Source organism: Homo sapiens, chromosome 1 (genome assembly GCF_000001405.40).
Source record: "Homo sapiens chromosome 1, GRCh38.p14 Primary Assembly".
Classification (NCBI taxonomy): domain Eukaryota; kingdom Metazoa; phylum Chordata; class Mammalia; order Primates; family Hominidae; genus Homo; species Homo sapiens.
Genome location: NC_000001.11, coordinates 36,871,045 through 36,890,907, shown reverse-complemented (window position 1 = coordinate 36,890,907; position 19,863 = coordinate 36,871,045). Strand labels below are relative to the sequence as shown.

General features: G+C 49.0%; 1 protein-coding gene across 1 annotated transcript in view; it reads left to right on the top strand.

Moving 5' to 3' along the window:
• The window catches only part of GRIK3 (glutamate ionotropic receptor kainate type subunit 3), a 238,989-nt gene that overhangs the window by 143,608 nt on the left and 75,518 nt on the right, over window positions 1–19,863 (top strand). Inside the window, exons 3-4 of the mRNA NM_000831.4 lie at window positions 10,017–10,274; window positions 18,539–18,720. Coding sequence (NP_000822.2) covers window positions 10,017–10,274; window positions 18,539–18,720 — 440 coding nt within the window. The remainder of the gene's footprint in view (window positions 1–10,016; window positions 10,275–18,538; window positions 18,721–19,863) is intronic.

Here is a 19,863-nt window from a genome sequence, read left to right as displayed (position 1 = left end):
CTCCTGCCTCTGTTCTCTTCCCAGCCTGGGGAGGGGAAGCGCTGCATTTGCTGTCCAAGATCCTGGGAATGGGCCAGAGCTCCAAGTAGGTTCAGAGCCTTTTCTACCTGGTTTGGGCTTGGAGCCAGACTGCCTGGACTTGCATCCTAGCAACTCTGATATTAGTTGTGTGACCTTGGACAAAATACCCTGTGCCTCAATTTTCTCATCTGCACAATGGATGCATTTCTGTAAAGTGCTTAGAATAGTAAGCGCTGGCACGTAGGAAGTACCATATAGGACTTTACTCTTATTGCACTTGGCTTCTTTGCCCTCCACATACTGAGCCACCAGGTCAGAGACCCAATTTCTGTGTCCCACCCACCTGCTTCTCCTTGCCTTGTATTCTGGCAGTCAGAGTCCCTGATATCGAGAGCAGTTACTGCTGACATTTTTTTTTTTTTTTAGACAGAGTCTCACTCTGTTGCCCAGGCTGGAGTACAGTGGTGCGATCTCTGCTCACTGCACCCTCCGCCTCCCAGGTTCAAGCAATTCTCCTCTCTCCGCCTCCTGAGTAGCTGGGACTACAGGTGCATGCCACCACACCCAGCTAATTTTTTGCATTTTTAGTAGAGATAGGGTTTCACCATGTTGTCCAGGCTGGTCTTGAACTCCTGACCTTAAGTGATCTACCCACCTCAGCCTCCCAGAGTACTGGGATTACAGGCCACTGTGCCTGGCCATTCTGACATTTTTGAGGCCACTCTGCTGAATCTCAGAGCTGATCTGCAGACAGACAAGAGGTGCCCCACCCTGGTTTAGCCTGGATCATCCGAAGAGTGATCCTTCACCCGTGACCCCTCTCTCTGCTGTTGTGTCTGCTCCCTGCCACTCTTTTCCCAGCATGCCCTGCAGCCTACCCTGTGCAGTGAAGTGTCCATCTCCCTGCTGAGAGTCTATGCTAACACCCTCTGCCCGGCCTTGTCCAGCTAGAAAATGACTCAACTCAACCAAAACTGCTCAATAAAAAGGTCAGGACACAGAACAAAAGCCTGGAATCAGAGTGCAGAGGCCCTCGTGGGTACAACCACCCACAAAAAGCTAGACTGGGTTTTCTGTCTATGTTTGCTAAAAATTACTAAAATAATACAATGACTCCCTAGTGGTACACCTGTGATTCAGCACAGGGACCTTCCCCAGCCAGGCAGGGAACCCCAGGGCAGAGTTTCCGAGCCCTCCCGGAGTTACTTCCTCCAGGAAATTATAGTCCTGCCCTATGTGAAACTGCCAAGTTGTTGGTGAGCAGGCCCAAGACAGAAACCTAGCTCCTGAAAATCTAGCCCTGGGCTTCCAAGTGACCAAAGCCACAACCCCTCCACTCCCCGCCTCCCCCCAACCAGATGACATGACTTGCTTTCTTAAATTCTTGGATGGAACATCTCATGGTCTTTCCCCAAATCGTCATTAGAGCCCATGAGGGCCTTTCCAGTCTAGCCCCAGCTTGGCCTTCCAGCCACATCCATACCATCTGCTCCCTTAGGCCCTGGGTTCTAGCCAAACCTGCCCTCCTCAGGGTGCCATGCTTCCTCCCACCTCTGGGCTTCCGCACATGCTGCCCTCTCTGCTTGTAATTCCCTTTCTCCAGCCCACCCTCTCCTGCCCTTTGCCTGGCCAACTCATCCTTCTCTTCTCAAACTTCCAGTCCTCAGGGAGACCCTCCCCTAACCCCTAGACAAGGTCAGGTCTCCTTGCTTTCATCTTATAACACTCAACTTTTCTTTCACAAGCCTGACCTGTGTGTGTGAGAGAGAGGTCATGTGATTATTGTACATTTCTTCCACTTGTCTGCAAGCCCCCGTGTCTTTTTACTGCTCCACTATAGAACCTGGCATGGGCCTGGCACGCAGGAGGCACAAAATCAGTCCTGGTAGTTTGATCGGATGCACAAATGAAAGTGTGTCAAACCCACTTAACGAACATTGTTCCTTACGATCCCTGCAGGAAAAAAGGCCCTGCCCTTTATAGGTCATGCCCAAGGAAGCTAGGTCATAGGACCAATAACTATAACAACCAGAAAATGAGAGAGAGCTACAGAAGTGTTGTGGTACAAGCAGGAAGGCTTCCTGGAGGAGGAGAGGTTTGAGTTGAGTTTTGAAGGATGGTGGGAAAGAGTGAGGAGTGGGATAAGGCAGAAGGTGGAGTGGAAAATGCAAGTTGTTTGAAGGAGCCAGTTTATGCACTTGAGAAGTCTGTTGAGCGCCCACTGTGTGCCAGGTGCTGGGGATCCCAAAGTGTTTAAGACAGAGGTGGCTGGTTCCTGTGACCATGGAGCTTATAATCTAGTGGATGAAGCAACAGGTGCCATACTGGGAGTTGCAGGAGAGAGTGCAGGAAAGGGAGGATGGAACATTAGCTTGGTCAAGGAGCATGAGTTTATAAGAAACAGACACCTACTCAAGCTAGATCAAGAAAAAAGGAACTGCCACCCAAATCAAGATATAGACCATGTGAGCCCTCCAGAAGCCCCCATGGCCCTCCCAGTCATTCCTCTCCCAAGGTCACCACCGTTCTGACTGCTGGTGCCCCACACTGGGTTTTGCTGTTTTTGAACTTTACATAAATGAAATCATTCAGTGTCTACTCTTTTAAGCCTTGCTCTTTGCTTTGTCTCGTATCCGTGAGATTGTCTACGTGGTTGAATATACTGGTCTTCATTGATGTACAGTGTTCTGTTACATGAATATGCCCCATTTTAAACAAATCCATTTCACTTTTGTTACACTTATGTGTTGGTTTCTGCTTGGGGCTATTACCTGCATTCCTGCTGTGGACGTTCATGTAGATGTCTTGTGATGCACATGTATACTCATTTTTGTTGGGTATATACTTAGGAGTGGAAGTATGCGGGTCACAGTATGTACATATGTTCAGCTAAACAGTTATCCAAAGCTGCTGCACAGTCTGAACTCCCCACAGCTATGTTTGAGAGTGGCACTTGCCCTACATCTTCACTAGCACTTGGTAAAGTCAGTTTTATTTTTAAATTTTGGCCATTCTGGTGGTTTCTGTAGTGAGTCTCATTATATATATATAGTGAATCTCTGTCTCTCTCTCTCTCTCACTCTCTCTCTCTCTCACTATATATATATATATATATTTTTTTTTTTTTTTTGAGATGGAATTTCACTCTTGTTGCCCAGGCTGGAGTGCAGTGGTGCCACCTCAGCTCATTGCAACCTCCGCCTCTTGGGTTCAAGCAATTCTCCTGCCTCAGCCTCCCAAGTAGCTGGGATTACAGGCATCCACCACCACACCCAAATGATTCTTTGTATTTTTAGTACAGGTAGGGTTTCATCATGTTGGCCAGACTGGTCTCGAACTCCTGACCTCGTGATCCACCCACCTCAGCCTCCTAAAGTGCTGGGATTACAAGTATGAGCCACCACGCCCCGCCTATATTCTTGATTTATATATTATTGCATCCTTTGTTGGAGAGATATCTCTATTGCATATATGCATTACATGTGGGCTTCCCTTTACATTCTCTTAACAGTTTCTTTTGAGGAGTAAAGTTCTTAATTTAAAGAAGTCCAATTTATCAATATTTTCCATTATGGTTAATGTATTTTGTGTTGTTTGAGAAGTCTTTGTCTAACCTAAGGTTATGAAGATATTTTCTCATTTTTTTCCTAGAAATGCTGTTGTTTTATCTTTCATAGTTAGCTCTGTGATCTATCTCACATTGATTTTCTGTGTATGGTGGGAGGCAGGGGTTTGGGCTTATTTTTTCTATACAATGCTGATGGGAGTAAAACCTTCCATTTCTTAGGAGAACTATTTGGCAGTATCTACTAAAGCTTGTGCCTATAACGATGTTTCTAGCCACTTTAATGGTAATAATCAAAAGTTAGAAGTAAATTAAAGGTCCATCAGTAGGAGAATGGATAGATTCGGATATAATTATACAATGGAATTTTAATCAGCAATTAAAAAAAGAATAAACTTTCTCCACTCAACATCATAGGTGAACCTCACAGATATAGTATTGAGTGAAAGAAAAGAGATTTCCTCTGGGAGAGGGAGTAGTGTGCAGTGAGTGGATATTGACTGGGAAGGAGCAAGAGAGACCCTTCTTAGGTGTTGGAAACGCTCTGTAGCTTGACTGAGATAGTGTAGCATACATGAGTGCATGACGTATGAATGAAATTATATGTGAAAATTCATAACAGTCATGTGCTTAACATTAATGCACTTTACTATATTTTATATCTCAATAAAAAAATTAAGTGCCATCTTTCTGCAACCCTCAATGTCCCTGTGATGACATGCCTAAGACAGATACCATCCCTCTGCTATGACTGGCAACACCACTGTCACACCTTGGCACATTCCTGCTGTTGGATCACACTCCCCTTTGGGTACCCTCTATCCCTCAGGGAGAGCCCCATGTTCCATGATCTTTATTTTTTCTTCTCATCTTTGGTTTTTTAAACAGCATTCTCCTGAGGCATCTTTAGGACTCTTCCAAGGAACCTGGGGCTTGGGGCAAATTCTAATTAATCCAGAAATAATTCATTTTCCCTAGACAGAAGTCCTCGTCATTGCTTTCTTCCCCTCCAGCTGGATCCAGCCACCTCGGGCCCTGTGGGGGGAGGGGACACAGAGGCATAAAGCCTGGCACCACCTGCCCTGCCAGCTCTGCTTGAATTAGTCCTTCCCTCCACATGAGGCCGGGGGCCTTTCCCTGTTAAAATGGACTTTCTCTTATTGTCTTTATCTTTTCATGTTTTGTGGAAATTAAAAGATGAGTGACTTCCAGGCAGCGCCAGAGGCAGCAGCAGCGCAGAGAGTGTCTGTGTTTTCTTCCAAGGCTGACCGGAGTGGGCCTGGAATTGACCCAGGGCTCCCCAGGCTCCTCCGCCTTCACTTATTCTCTGGGCTGCTCAATTCCTTTTAAGACACAAATTGATTGGGATAATTTTTGCCATAACTACAATTGCCATGGAAAGGGAGTGGGGGGACAGCATTCAGGCTGTGGACTCCTGCAATGACTGTGAACCATTGAGTTACTGTAAAATGACCAGAAAATGGATTTAAAATTGAAGCCACAAATAATGTAATTACTGCAGTGTGATCAGGGCTGCCAGAACAAGAGTTGGCTGCTGCCCTGGAAACATCTGGAAGAAAAGCTGCTGCTGCTGCTGTAAGCCCTGCCCTGGTCCCTGTGGGGGCAGCAGTGTTCTTCCCAGCTGGGAAGTCCTCAGAGGGTGGAAGGAACATGGAGGAGACAGGAAAGGGGAGGTGGAGAGAGGCCAGGGAAAAGCAATAGGTGAAGGCCAGGACTGATGCTTCCTGCTATGCAAGAGTAAAGTCTAATCACTGCATCTCTTGCAGAATGAAACCCAGTGTGGTCATCATCATCATCACCACCATTGACTCTACTATCAACACCAGTACACCAGCACCACAATTACTGTTTTCACCAGCAACAATGGTATCATCTCCACTCTTAATATCAGCACCACCAACACTACCCCCACTGTCATCACCTCCATCACTGCCATGACAGCAACATCTTCATCATCACCAGTCTCATCAGCACCAACATCTCTGCCACCATCCCACTGATACTGTCAGTACCATCAACGTTGTGATCACCTCCTCTCTCATCAATGCTGACATCCCGTCATCCCCTGTCATTATCACCACTACAGTGAAGGCACCAACACATTTATCATTGTCAGTCTCATCAACACCAACATCAACATCACCATCCCGCCATTACTATCACAACATCAACATGATTAATTTCACCCTCAGCAATGCCGTCACCATTATCATCATTGGCAGCCTCACAATATGGTCTTTAGTATCACAACGATTTCAGTTGCCTTTGTCATAATCCTCACAGTCTGTGTCAAAATAAAAGTCACTTCTTTGAAGAACACTCTTACAATCCTCTGCATCATCAGACTTTGTGTTGGTCCACTCTCCCTTGCCTTGGTCCAACAACATGCCCAGACCTTGGACATGACCTAAGAGGCCAGGCCGTGTAATGGTAGCAGTGGCAGGGAAGCCTGGACCTGACTGCTTCAAGGCATCAATCAATGAAGGAAATCTAAGAGGCAGATGCGTAGAGGTGGTGGTGGGAGGGAATGAGACATTCAAATCATTCAACCAAGTCTTCAAACTGAAGGTGTTCCAGGAAAAAGAATAGACAGATAATATAGTGGGACAGAAACCAGAGGCATCAGGGGACAGCTAGAAGGGTCAAAACAAAGGTAGGAGAGAGTATGAGGGAAACCTACAGGGTTTACAGGGTGCCCACGGCCTCAGGCTTGGGCAAGCCCTGGACTGCTGTCACTCACTGTTACCATCTCTTCCATGTTGGTACCCAGCTCCCATGGTTGCAGAGTGACTCACACATGGCCTCCTTCCTCAGGAAGTGCCTAATCTGAAGGGGACAAGGTTGTCGGGGAAGATATGCAACACCCCCAGACGGCAGAAGAATAGCACGAATGGGCAGTGAGGGTGCAGGTCCGAGCATGGCCTCCTTGGGGAGAGGGAACTGAAAAAAGAACTAGTCCTAAATTTGACAATTCACCAGCAAACCCAGAGTTCCTGTTTTTAAAGCATTTATTATCACTGTGGTTTGTCTCACACACCTGCTCACACCAAGGGCTACCCAAGGCATGTTGACTCAAAGGTGACAAGAGCAGGAACAAGATGGTGCTTCCCCGACTTGGCTCCCAGTCCCAGAACTACAGAAGCACCAGGAGGATGCCATGCCCCCGTTGTATGTGCTCTCCTGCACCTGGCCTTGGCCACAATGAATCCTGGGTTGCCCAGGAGATACCCTCTGTACTGGCACTGCTGCTGTTCTGCCCCGTGTTACAGGGGGCTCCAGCAGACCCCTAACAAAAACTAGCCAGCTCATCACATTGCTATATCTTTCACCTTGCCCTTAAGTGGCAATCTCTGGTGTTCCTGGTAGAAGTACAGATTTCAGGAAAAATAACTTCTTTATATAAAATCTCCCATTTCCAGGAGGCAGTGGGAGTGGTGGATGTGAGTCAACAGGAAACACAACCCAAGACCACATATTCTGATGGATTCAAAACTACCCTGTACCTCTGGATCAATCTGGATCAATCTGGACCATCCTTAAGCCCAGGCGAGAGGGACCCTTTCCCAGGGCCTGTGCTTTGATGTCTTGCCCTCTGCCTCCTCTGGTTGGCCTCTCCTCCCGGGACAAGGAGTCAGTGGGACCAGGGGACATACCCACCAGGAGCCTGTGCCCTGCCCTTCCAGACTTTCCTCTAAGGATCTAGAACCCTGAATTTCCTGCCCACTTGCCCCTGAGCCCACTTCTAGGACATGCGTGGGCCTCTTCCTTGGGTCTGTCTTCCAGAGGGAAAGCCATACTTGCAGGAGGTGCACTTTTAGGCCCTAAGGGTGACCAAGGGGCAGCTGTTTGCAGTGGGTGTAGACAGTGTTTGGACATAAGGGCTGGGGTTTCCACAGAGAATGCAAGGCCCCTTATGGTTCAGGATGGAGCCAGTGGTAAAAGAGAAAGGGGGAGAATGGGGTCCTGGTGCTACCTCTCCCCATGTCACTGTGTAGGAGAAGTCTCCATTCTCACCTGACTTTCCAGATTGTGATGAAGGTACATTTGTCAAGGTAAGAGAAAAGGACGTGTTTCGTTTAACAGTTTTTTAGCTTGACTAACAGCATGTAACTATTTAGCCGTATGGTATGTAGGCTTCCACTTATACTCTGGCCCTGGGCCCTGCAAATCTTAGGGGTAGGCCTGTGCCCAGTGGGTCATTCCCAGAGGCCCTTGAGACAGCCAGGCCTCAATACACTGAATCCAGTGTATTCATTCCTGCTTCGGTGCTCTGTCCTGCCTCCTCCTGTGTGCATCAGATGTCATATGTGTGCACATAGTGTCATTCCCCTGTCCACAGGTAGGTGAGCTTGCTCATGCTCTGTTGGTGGATCTCCGATGGTTGCAACTGGCGGAAAACTAAAACCTAAATGGCGTAAGTCTTGGTTCATGCAAATTCTAAGTCCAGGGTTTTGCCTGGTGGGCGACTCCTGTGTTTTCTCTCTCTTGGCTCTGCTCAACCCACACTGACTATGTTCACAGACAGGCGCCCCTCTTTATGAGCACAAGATGGCTACTGCAGCTCCAGCTGTTACTTCCTTGAAGGTTCACTTAAAGAGGGAGGTGCCCCTTTCTCAGTCCAGTGGATCTCATGGCATCCCACTGGCTCTGACTGGCCCACAAATGTCCTCTAAACTCATGGCTGTGAACTAGGAAGGTCAGTGAGTGGTTTTCTGGGTGCGAGCCGCATTCTCTGCACCAATGGGTTGACAGTGGAAAAGAGGGGTGAAGCCCCAAGGAAAATTAGAGACAGTTGAGAAAAGAAGAGAGAATGGCTTCTGGGGAGCTCTCCCACCTACCCCAGAATGACTCTAAGAGGTCCCCTTTCTATGGATCTTTTAGGCAGAATCCCCCATTTTGAGCCCCAGCTGCCCTGGGTCTGCTCATTTGATGCTCTGTTGTGCCCACTGATGTTCTACCATCCCAGGCCGGTGGAAAGCATCTGCTGCCTCACCTGCCTGAGTTTTTGGACCTCTGCAAGAACCTGAACTGTTTGAAGGCAGGGATTCGGCATTCATTCAACATTCAGATGATGATTCGGCACTGTCGATACAGCAGTAAACCACATAGATCAAGGCCCTGCCTCTTTGGAACTTACATTCTACTGGGAGGAGAAAGTCAACCAATGGACAAGACTTCCAGTGATCATTTAATAAAGAAGGAAATAAACAGGGCATGGGGGGACAGGGATTGTGATTATAAATTGTGCGGTGAAGGCCTCCCTAGTAAGACACAGACACAGAGGCCTCAAGGAGGAGGGGGAGGGAGTCTTGAGGCTCTATGAGGGAAGAGCATTCCAGCCAGAGAGGACAGCACGTGCAAATAGGCAGGAATGCACTTAGCATGTTCAAGGAGCATCATGGAAGCCAGAGGAGCTTGAATGCTTTGAGGGAGGGAAAGAAGGATGGGAGACGAAGTCAGAAAAGTGGCGGTAGGGACAGGGAAGGGAGGAGCTACAACAAGCAGGATCTCTGGCCACTGCTATGACTTTGGCTTTTGCACTGAGGAGCCCTTGAAGCAAAGGAGTGACGTAATCTACCTTATACTGTGGAAGTCTCACCCTGGCTGCTGAGTGCAGAATAGACAGGAGGGAGGATGACTGAGGAAGCTTCTGCAATAATCCAAGCCAAAGATGATGGCGGCTTGGACCAGGATGGGAGTCGGGGCTGGGAGTGGCGGGAAGTGGTCAGGTTGTGATGTATTTTGCAGGTGAAGCCACAGGAGTTGTTGATGAATTGGGGTGTGGGATATGAGTGAATGAGAAGAATCAAGACAGAACCATGGTTTTTGGCATATGGGTCCAGGGACAATGGAGCTGCTGTTTATGGAGGTGAAGGAGGTTGGGACAAGAGGGGATCCTGTGCTGGACATGTCAGATCTGATATGCATGTCAGATATCCAACTGGTGATGTTGAGTAAGAGGTGAGATGCACAGGTCCGGGGTAGGGAACAGGCCGGGCTAGAGGTTGAAGTTGAAGCACCATCAGCCAGTTTGATTCTATTTGTTTCTCAAGTCCCCCAAGAACAGAACCTGGCACAGAGATGGTGATGCTAATCCCAGGATGGTAACATTGAATGTGGTGATCACTTTTGTCATGGGCACTTCCTAAGGAAAAGGGACGTACCCTGGCACTGTGCTCCAGTCTCCCACAACCATGTCTTTCCACCTTCATGTGGTCTTGCAAGGCAGGGACTGTTAGAACCCCTGTTTTCAGATGAGGAAACTGAGGTTCAGAGAGCTCATCCATTGTGCACCCACCGAGGGTTCCAGTTGCTGTTTTTCCCACATGTTTACAGGATCATCAGCATCACTGTCCCCATACCCACAGCCCCAGTGCTGACCCCTGTGCTGCCCTACCCTCTGTTGCAGCCTGTGACCAGCTGGCACTGGGCGTGGTGGCGATCTTCGGCCCATCACAGGGCTCCTGCACCAATGCCGTCCAGTCCATCTGCAATGCCCTGGAGGTGCCCCACATCCAGCTGCGTTGGAAGCACCACCCGCTGGACAACAAGGACACCTTCTACGTGAACCTCTACCCCGACTACGCCTCGCTCAGCCATGCCATCCTCGACCTGGTCCAGTACCTCAAGTGGCGGTCAGCCACCGTGGTCTATGACGACAGTACAGGTGGGTGGCCAGGCCTGGCTAGGCTGGGGGCAACGGTTGAGGGGGGCAGAGGCCCAGGATCAAGCTCTTGTCTGTTTGTTCAGCACAGCTGCCCTGGGGGAAGAGGCTGTGTTCCATACCCCAGTTCCACTCGGTTATGCTGATGTTCACCCCTGCACCCACTCACACCCTGTGCACCCCAGCGGCACTCATATCTCACTCAGCCCCAGCGCACCTCACCCCTGCCTCACACTCAGCTCCTCCTCTAGCAGCACAAGTGTTCAAATCTGCACTGAACACCCACCCTAGCAGCAGCACACACATCTGCAAGCCACACCGACACCTGCCCATGCCCTTACGCTCACACATTTCCATCTGCTGCAAACACATCCACCCTCACACTTGCACACTCACACACATAGCTTATGGCGTGGCCTAGTGTTAAGTGTGTACACACTGGAGCCAAACCACCTGGGTGTAAATCCCATCTCTATCACCTGCTGGCTGAGTAGCCTCTTTGTGCCTCAGTTTCCTATAAAATGTAAATCTGTAAAATGTGGGATTACAAGATGACAGTGACAAGCACTGACATGCAGTGAGCGCTGAAGGTTGGTTCTTCTCATCCTCCTCACACCTTCACCCGCCACACACACACTCTTCTCTACCCACACTCACACACAGACACCTGCACGTGCCCAGCTCTGCTCGCACACACACCAGCCCCTGCCATACCCACTTGACCGCTGACCCCAGCCAGTGCCAAGCTTGCAGACGTCAGCACCAGGCTGTTGTCTCATCCTGCCAGGACAGAAAGAGGAGATGGGCTCTGGGGCCCGTGGCTATGAGCTGCGGGCCCAAAGCTGGGCTCCCTGATGTGGCTGCACCTGTCCCACATGCTCTGCCAGCTAGAGCTAATGCTGCCCACATTTTTCTGGGTAGGACCCACCTGACCCACTCCTGCCCTGCCTTCCAAGTCCAGCCTGGGCTCTGCCTTCCAGAAAACCCTTGCTCCAATGTGATACCCCCTGCCTCTCAAGTCCCAGGCCCTTAGAGAGGGCCCAGAGCACACACCTAGCAGATAACCACCAACAAACCCAGCAAACGCACTCTGGCTTTTCCTTTGGATCTCATTCATTGCTAGGAGCTGGAGATACTTAGATAAACAAAACCCACTCTTTCTGTCACCCAGGCTAGAGTGCAGTGGTGCCACCACAGCTCACTATCACCTCGACCTCTGGGATCAAGAGATCCTCCCACCTCAGTCTCCCAAATAGCTGGAACTATAGGCATGCAGCACCACACCTGGCTAATTTTGTATTTTTTTGTAGAGCCAAGTTCTGGCTACGTTGCCCAGGCTGGTCTCCAACTCCTGGATTCAAGCAATCCTCCCACCTCAGCCTCCCAAAGTGCTGGGATTACAGGTGTGAGTCACCACACCACACCAAAACTCAGTTCTTGGTCTTGGCAAGCACTACATTGTAGGGAAACACAAACGGGACAACATAGCCATCTGCATGAACAGAGCCATCTCCATGTAGCTCTATGTACAGAGAGCTAATGGTCTGCCATAAGTCACAAAAAGAGCAAGCAGGAAAGGGAAAAGGGAGAGAAGAGCCACTGAGGGCACTGACCGCTGCCTGGTCCCTGCCTTCATCCTTAAGTCATCCTTGTGAGGATGTGTGGGGCAGGGACAGACCTGGAGAGTCCCCTAGAGATGGAATTCATACATGCTTCTGGATTCATCTGCTAAAGAAGGCTACTGTTTACCTGCTGCGAACCAAGTGGTGCAAGTGTGATCTTATTTCATTTCATGTAAATCTCATAGTAACTCCCTGGAGCGATGAATTAGAAATGAGGAAACTGAGTCCCAAAGAGGTGACATGCCCTGTGCACTGTCACCCAGCTAGTGAGTGCCAGAGCCAGCATGCACCTACAGGCCTGTTTGAGCCTAAAGTCTGTGCTGCTAGCCAGCATGGAGCTGTTTCTTCTCCTCTTTCTTTCCAAAGGCTTGAGTCCCAAGACATTTCTTAGCCTGGCCTCTTAAGAGAGAGTGACCTTGGCAAGTCACTTAACCCATCTGGCCTTGCTCTGCCCACATGTCAAGAGCTGCTGCATCCAGCCTTGAAAGAGCCCTCCAGCTCTCAGCTGCCTGTGATTCAATGTCAGCTTTTGATTACCTCCTAATGGGGACTGGAAATAGTAGGGAGAGACTCCCTCAGAAAAGACAATTGGAAAGCTGTTTATTTAACTCAGGCTTCTACAAGCATCTATTGAGTTCCTGCTATTTCCAAAGCACCCGACAGAAGATCCTTGAGAGCAGGGATCCCCAGCCTGGCTTATTCACCCCAGCATGAAGACCTTGCCATTGAGGGGCACTCCTGCCCACCTCCCAGCCACTCCAGTGTTTCTGCTGCATTGTGGAGTTGTTTCTTAATGTACCACTGTGAATCATTATCTGTCTGTGAGTCTGTGTCTGCTTCCAGGCCAGGAGCTTTCAGTGTCTCCAGGATTTAACACAGGGTCTGGTACAGTGTAGATGTTTTTCATTGTTTGTTGGCACTGAGTTGGATTGGACTGGATTGGATTAGTTTGGATTGAATTGGAAATCAAGTTGAATTAAACCCTAATTAAATATTGAAGGAAAGAGTATACGGGTGAAGAAACAAAGATGTTGTTATCCTGTCTTCTTTTGAAAAGTTAATCTTAGCATAGAAGAATGGGTGCCTGCCCAGAGGTCACACATAATTCTAGGCCATCAGAGCTAAGAATGAAATGGCATATACATTTAGTCAGAGCCAGACCACTTGGGGAATGGAAGCTCTATGGCCTTGGCTGGTCTGAGCTGACTTACCAGAGGAGGAGAGATTGGAGCAGGATAGGTGAATGAGGAGAGGATAGATGAATGAGGAGAGGAATCATGAGGGAATTACAGGTGGAGGGAACAGCATGAGCAAAAACTAGGTTGGACTGTACCTAGCAGCTTAACCAAGAGGACAGCCTGGCTAGGGGAGAGGATTCAGGTATGGAAGGTGGGAAGAAAAAGTCAGATTAACAGAGTGTAGCTGGCTATGCAAGGTCTCTGATGTCCAGCCTCAGAGTTCAGGTTTTATCTTTAAAGCAGCCAAGGATCATTGAGTATTGCTGAGCAAAGGCGTAGAATAATCAAAGCAGAGTTTTAGAAGGTGGTTCTAAGAGCAATGCACAGGGAGGGTTGGAAGGAGAGCCTAGAGCAAGGAGACTAGAGCACAGCCGACTGCACTGGTCCAGACAGGAGCAAAGGAGGCCAGAATTCAAGGGGTGCTTGGAAGAGAACATGGGGCCAGAATGGAAGAGAAGAAAGGGATGTGAACAGGGTAATGTTGAAGACATGTAACTGGAATGTCATGGGTACAGAGTGTCAGAGCAGACACTGACATAGTCTAGGTGGAGGGTGGAGGAAGTGGCTTTGCAGAGGAAAAGGTGCTTTATCATGATGATGGATACCATGCTAGCAAAACTGGCCAGAGCTGATGCTCAGGTCTGCAGCTCTTACCCACAAGTGCCTTTAGCTCTGACTATAAGTACACGTCACTTCATTCTCAGCTCTGATGGCCTGGAATTACCTGTGATCACTGGGCAGGTACCCACTCCTCTGGAATACAATTAACTTCTCAAAAGGAGATAGGATAGCAACATCTTCATTTTTTTATCCTTATACTCTTTCCTTCAATATTTAATTAGAGTTTAATTCAACTTCATTTTCCATTTGATTCAGTTAAATTCAACTCAATTCAGTTCAACAAATATTTAAAACATAGGGGAGTCAATGGGTCAGTGAGTTTGATCAAGAAGACAATGAGCACTAGGGGCTCAGGTTTGGCTTCAGCCAAATAATATAACTTTGATGATGTATAGTGGGTAGAAAGAAGTGTGCTCCCAGAATCCAGATATGTCAAAGGGCAGGACAATGTATGGGTCATCAAACCCATGGAGTGGGAAATACTCCACAGTGGGCTTTGGCTGTGTTTGCTTTGGAGATTGTGTCCATCAGGATGTTTTGGCTGCAAGTAACAGACAGCCCAACTCACATTGACTCAAGCAATAAACCGTTATCTCACTGACAAGAATTCTGGAGATGGGCCTTTCCTGGGATGATTTAGCAGCTTGACAAAGTCAGGGTGCTGGGTCAGTATTGCCACAGCTCTCTTGGCCTTCAGCTCATAGTCACAATAGGGCTGCTGAAGCTCGGAGCATGCAGTAGGTGGCATACAGAAGGTAGAGGCCAATGGGATTTTCTTCTTCATTATTTTTTTATTTTAGAGACAGGGTCTCACTCTGTCACCCAGGCTGGAATGCAGTGGCACAATCATGGCTCCTGGCAACCTTGAACTCCAGGGCTCAAACGGTCCTCCCACCTCAGCCTCCCAAGTAGCTGGAACCCAGGAACATACCACCATGCCCTGCTAAGTTTTAAATTTTTTTATAGAGTCAGAGTCTTGCTGTATTGCCAAGGCTGGTCTCAAACTCCTGCTTTAGCCTCTCAAAGCACTGAGATTATAGGTATGAGCCACCACAACCAGCCCAATGAGATTTTTCTTAATGTGACTCATGCCTCTTATCAAAGAGGAAGATCTGTCTCAGAACCTTCTAGAAGACAATCCTGTATAGCTCACTGGGTCCATACCTATTATTCTAGACATTGTCAGATGGGAATGGGATTGCCACTGATTGGCTCCTGCCAATCACGAGTCATCTCATGGGACTGGTGCATTTTCACCCAAACACAATCACAGTTCTTTTAGAATGCTGGAAGGGAGTGCAGTTGTTATCTCTTTCTATAATAATGCTGTGTAACAAACCACCTCAAAAACTCAGTGGCTTAAAATAATAAGCATTTGTTTAACTCACAAGTCCACAGGGTCAGTGATTTCTTGAACTTGGCTAGGTCGTTTTTCTGGGTTCACCTGGATCACTCACCTGCTTGGTGGTCAGCTGGCTGTTGGTTGATCTAGGCTGGCCTTGACTGAAATGCAGGTATATTCAGCTCTCCACCTGTCTCTCATCCTCCAGCAGGATAGCCGAGGCACATTGTCATGACAATTGCAGAGGGGCGAGAGAGCAAACCCAATGTACAATTCCATTTCAACTGTTTGCCTGCATGGTACCTGCCAACATCCCACTGGCCAAAACAATTCACATGGGTGAGCCCAATTGGAGGGCCCTGCAAAGTTACATGGCAAAGGGTGTGGTTATAAGGAGAGGTGAAGAATTGGGGTCATGGCTGCAATCTCCCCCAAGGAGAATGGCTATTGAGAAGGCAGCCAGTGTTTGCCCCACGAGCTTTGTGCCTTATCTATTCTATGCATAAAGACAAACTCATCTTGAGGGTGAAAGGATGGTATTAAACAAACAAACAAACAAAAACCTGGGATGAAGGAAAGGGCTACAGCCTAGGAGTCAAAATGTTATTGGGTCTCTAATTATGATTCCATAATCACTTAACCTCTGTGGTGTTACTTAACCTCTGTGGTCCTTGGGATTTTTCTCTGTAACATTGGAATGAAAATCCTTGTTCTATATGCCTTCTAGGATTGGGAGATGGTTAAATAGGGTAATGAATGCAGAAGCGCTTTGTGAGTGAAAAGCATGATTCCAACAACCATGATTCACTGCAGATATTTTAAGAGAGATTGATTAGGGGAGCAGCCAGAAAGGAAAGCTCATCTCAGGCAAACAAAGAGAGCCTAGTCCTCTGCTGGAGTGGGCTGAGAGGAGCCTCTGGTCTCCTTTGGGAATACACTGATGGGAAGGAGGGCTGACATTTGCTGCTGGAGAATGTGGGTCACCATGCATTACATGGGGCGATGTGCTTGGCTGACAAGAAGGCCCTGGTGGCCTCTGCTCCAGCATCCAGCCTGTCCCAGTCCTCATAGCCTGGGTCCCCAAAGCCCACATGCCTGCTGATGCTGCACATAAGTCTCAAAACCAAACAGGGAGGAGCAAACTGTGCACCCTGGACCTCACGGGGTAACAGATATGAAAGGGAAGCATCATTCAACCTAATCAAGAATTTCTGGGATACATTGGGAGGGGGATAGCCTGTGTGTGTGTCTTGTGATAGCTTGTGGCCTCTCCCTTCTATGTGAAGGTCAACTGATAGCCTCTTCCTCCTCCCCATCAAGTCTGGTATTAGGAAGCACAGGGCACCTGTTTGATCCAGACCACTCTGGGACTACATAGCCGTCTCCCAACTCCAGCACATGGGTTTGAGTCTTCAGTGGGCTGGGGGTTCCTGATGCCCAGTCATGGCAAAGCTTGTGTGGAAGCTCTTTAGGAGGCTTAGGCTACGAGCATACATGTCTGTCCCCGAAGCAAAGTGAGATGATGGACACCAATCAGATTGCTTTCCTGATGTCCAGCCCTCAGGAATGAGAATAATTGCTAAACAGACTCAGGGGTGTGTACCAGAGATTGTTTTGGAAACTGGGATTCTCTGCCGGAAGGCTTTTGGAGAGGGCTATCTGAGTGAGGTCAGGGGGACTCTTTCCAGATAGAGTAACAGTTGATTGAAAACTTTAATCCAGTGCAAACTGGCTTAAGCAAAAAAAGTTTGGGGGCAGCAATTTGGTTTCCTTTACTGGAAAGTTTGGAGCTAATTTTAGCTTCAGGCACCATTTGATCCAGAGGCTGAAGTGAAGATCATTAGGACTTCTTTGCTACTTGTTCTCTCTGACATCTGTCCTGGTGGAATCCTTCTCGAGGTCTACGTGGGGACCCTGGACTTACAACCTCCATATTTGAAGTTGAGTGAAAAAGGGAGTGTTTCTCACCCTCTTTTTGTGCCAGTTGTTCTAACACAGTTTCTGAGAGTCAATGGTATTGTACCTATCTCTGAGTCAATACCTATTCCCAGGCTGGGGCCATGTGCTTTGCCCCTAGAGCTGACGATGGACCCCTCCTGAGTCACAGAAACTAAGAGTGGGGGAGAAGTTTTTCCCCAAAGGAAAATTGAAGTGCCATTAGTGGTGGGGGGGCAGGGGTGGGACATGCTGTGTGAACTGTGTCACCAGGACCAGACACTGAGTCCTGGGGATGACTAGGGACCAAGCAAGCAGGAGGGGATGGCCCTCTTGGGACCTGGCCGTGTGCTGGCTCAGCTTCTTCTTTGGAGGGGAGGAAGGGGCGGGAAGTATATACAGAGTAACAAGCAGGCTTGCTCCCAGGCTATGCAGAAAGAAGTCAGCAAAAATGGACCTTGAAATAGGGACAGAAACGAACTTAATTAGACCTAAGTAAGCCATTTGTCTCCAGAAAGTGACATTCAGTTTTCCCTGGAAGTCCTCAGATTAAGTGGTTTTACAAAAACGCCAACCAAGGTAGAGGATAGATTTTTCAGTGTGGGAGGAAAAACAAAAAACAAAAAACAGTAAGTCAGTCCAATTATGGAAACTTTTGTTGAGTACCACCTGAGTGCCAGGCCCTGTGCTGGGGGTGGTGGGAACCCAGCCCCAGATATCAACGTGCTGGTGGCAGGATGAGGGGAATGAGGTGGGGCCAGAGGAGGCCATTGCTGAGGGAGGAGGCCACTGAGTTGGAGGAGAGGGTGATCTTTTCTGGACAGAGCAAAAGAGGAAGGCTTCATGGAGGAGGTGGTTGCACTAAACCTGAAAAAGTGGGTAAGGTTTACCAAGGCAGACTGCCCTTAGTGAGGACGAGGGCGGAGACACAAATACCTCCTGGCCTTACCCAGCCCAGTGGTTGGTACAGGTTAGTACCACTGAGGCTGGAGCTGCCTTTTGTGCCCATATCCTGGAAGCAGCTCGCTGGAGATGTTGAGGGAAATCATGTCCCATGTCTCACAATGTTGGGGGTGGGTACAGAAGAAGAGGGGTGAACTCTGATTTAGGCCCTGAAGGCTTTACACCCATTCTGGGTTAGAGAGAAGCAGATGGGTGTGGTCAGTGGGAATTTGCTATCTGTGCCTACTTTTGAATCTACATATGTGTGTACTGCACCACTGTGTGCACAGGCCTTAATCTACATATACACACGTGTTGATAAGCCCAAGTGTATTCCTGCCCATATTGACATGCACGTGCGTGTAGCCATGTGTTTGTATGTGCACACACACCTGCTCTCCAGTGTTGTCCATGCACGTGCACAAGTCTCTGTGGGCCACGTTTCTGCCCGTGTATGTCTGCAGACCTGTGGCCATGGGCATGTGTGTGCACACAAGTCCAAGTGGATGCCTGGAGCTGTGGATACATGTGGTACACGTGTGTCTTTTGTGCTCCATGGCCCCTCAGGGCTCATCCGACTGCAGGAGCTCATCATGGCCCCATCAAGATACAACATCCGCCTGAAGATCCGTCAGCTCCCCATCGACTCTGACGACTCGCGCCCCTTGCTCAAGGAGATGAAGCGAGGCCGGGAATTCCGCATTATCTTCGACTGCAGCCACACTATGGCGGCCCAGATCCTCAAGCAGGTGCGTGAGTGCTGGCCACCGGGACAGATGACTGGGGTCTGCTGGCCACTTCTCCCACGTCCCCTTCCCAAATGTGGGTGTGATGCTGCCAGATCTAAGTTTGACTCCTAGCTCTGCCACTTTCCTGCTGTGTGACCTTGGGTGGTTTGCCTCTCTGAGCCTCATTTTCACCAGTAGCAAAACGGACACTGCAGTATTTACTCTGTGAGTTGGCGTAAGGATGGATGATCCGCCCAGCCCGGCCTGACACAGGGAGAGTGCTGAGTAGACACGAGTTTCCATCCCACCTCTGTGCTGGTTGGAGGCAGAGGCTGCCGGGAGGTACCCACAGCCACACAGGAGCAGAGCACTCCAGGAAGCAGAGAGGCCTCAGATTCTCAGGAACAGCCCCCAGAATGCCTCACCGCCTCTTCCAGTGACTAATTCCCCGTAGCCCACGGCACTTGGTGTTACTCTCCTATTACTGGGAGCTTTATCAAGGCTCTCGTACCATCTGCTCAGCTCTGCAGTGACAGAGGGGGAGGAGAATGGCTCTCAGTCCTGGATGGGCCTTCGTTCCCAAACACAGCTCAGCATGGCCTGCTGGGGACGAGAGCCAAGCTCCGCCAGTCACCTAAGAAAATAAACAGTGAAATCGCCTACCACCCGCTCCAAGGGTGCCACAGCGGAAACCAAAAACTGATTTGAGCTGGCGCTTTGTGTAAAAGGCAATTATGTCATCCCAGAAAGCATTTCTGGTGACTGGAGGAGGCATTCTGTGGGGCTTTGACACATGACCCCTCAGGGTCCAGGTGATTTAAGGGGTGCAGGAGGAGACACGCTGAGCCGGAGTGTTCTCGAGGCCTTGAGGGGCTCAAGTCCCATCCTCCAGTTGGGCCCCATCGGGGGTGCCAGGCCTGAATGGCAGCCTCTATCCCTGGCTCCTCACAAAGGAAGCTCCTTTACACCGCACTTAAAAGGCTCATTTGAGGGTTTGAGTTCTGCTTCTGCCCTTTCACGTTGTGTGCCCTGGAGCAAGAGGCCCAGGAGTCATTCCCCTCCTCTGTAGATGAGGTTCATAATCCCCATCTCATACCATTATGGAGGCTTCAGTGCAACAAGGAAAACATCAGGAGTTTCTTCTGACACCCAGCAGGCAGTTGA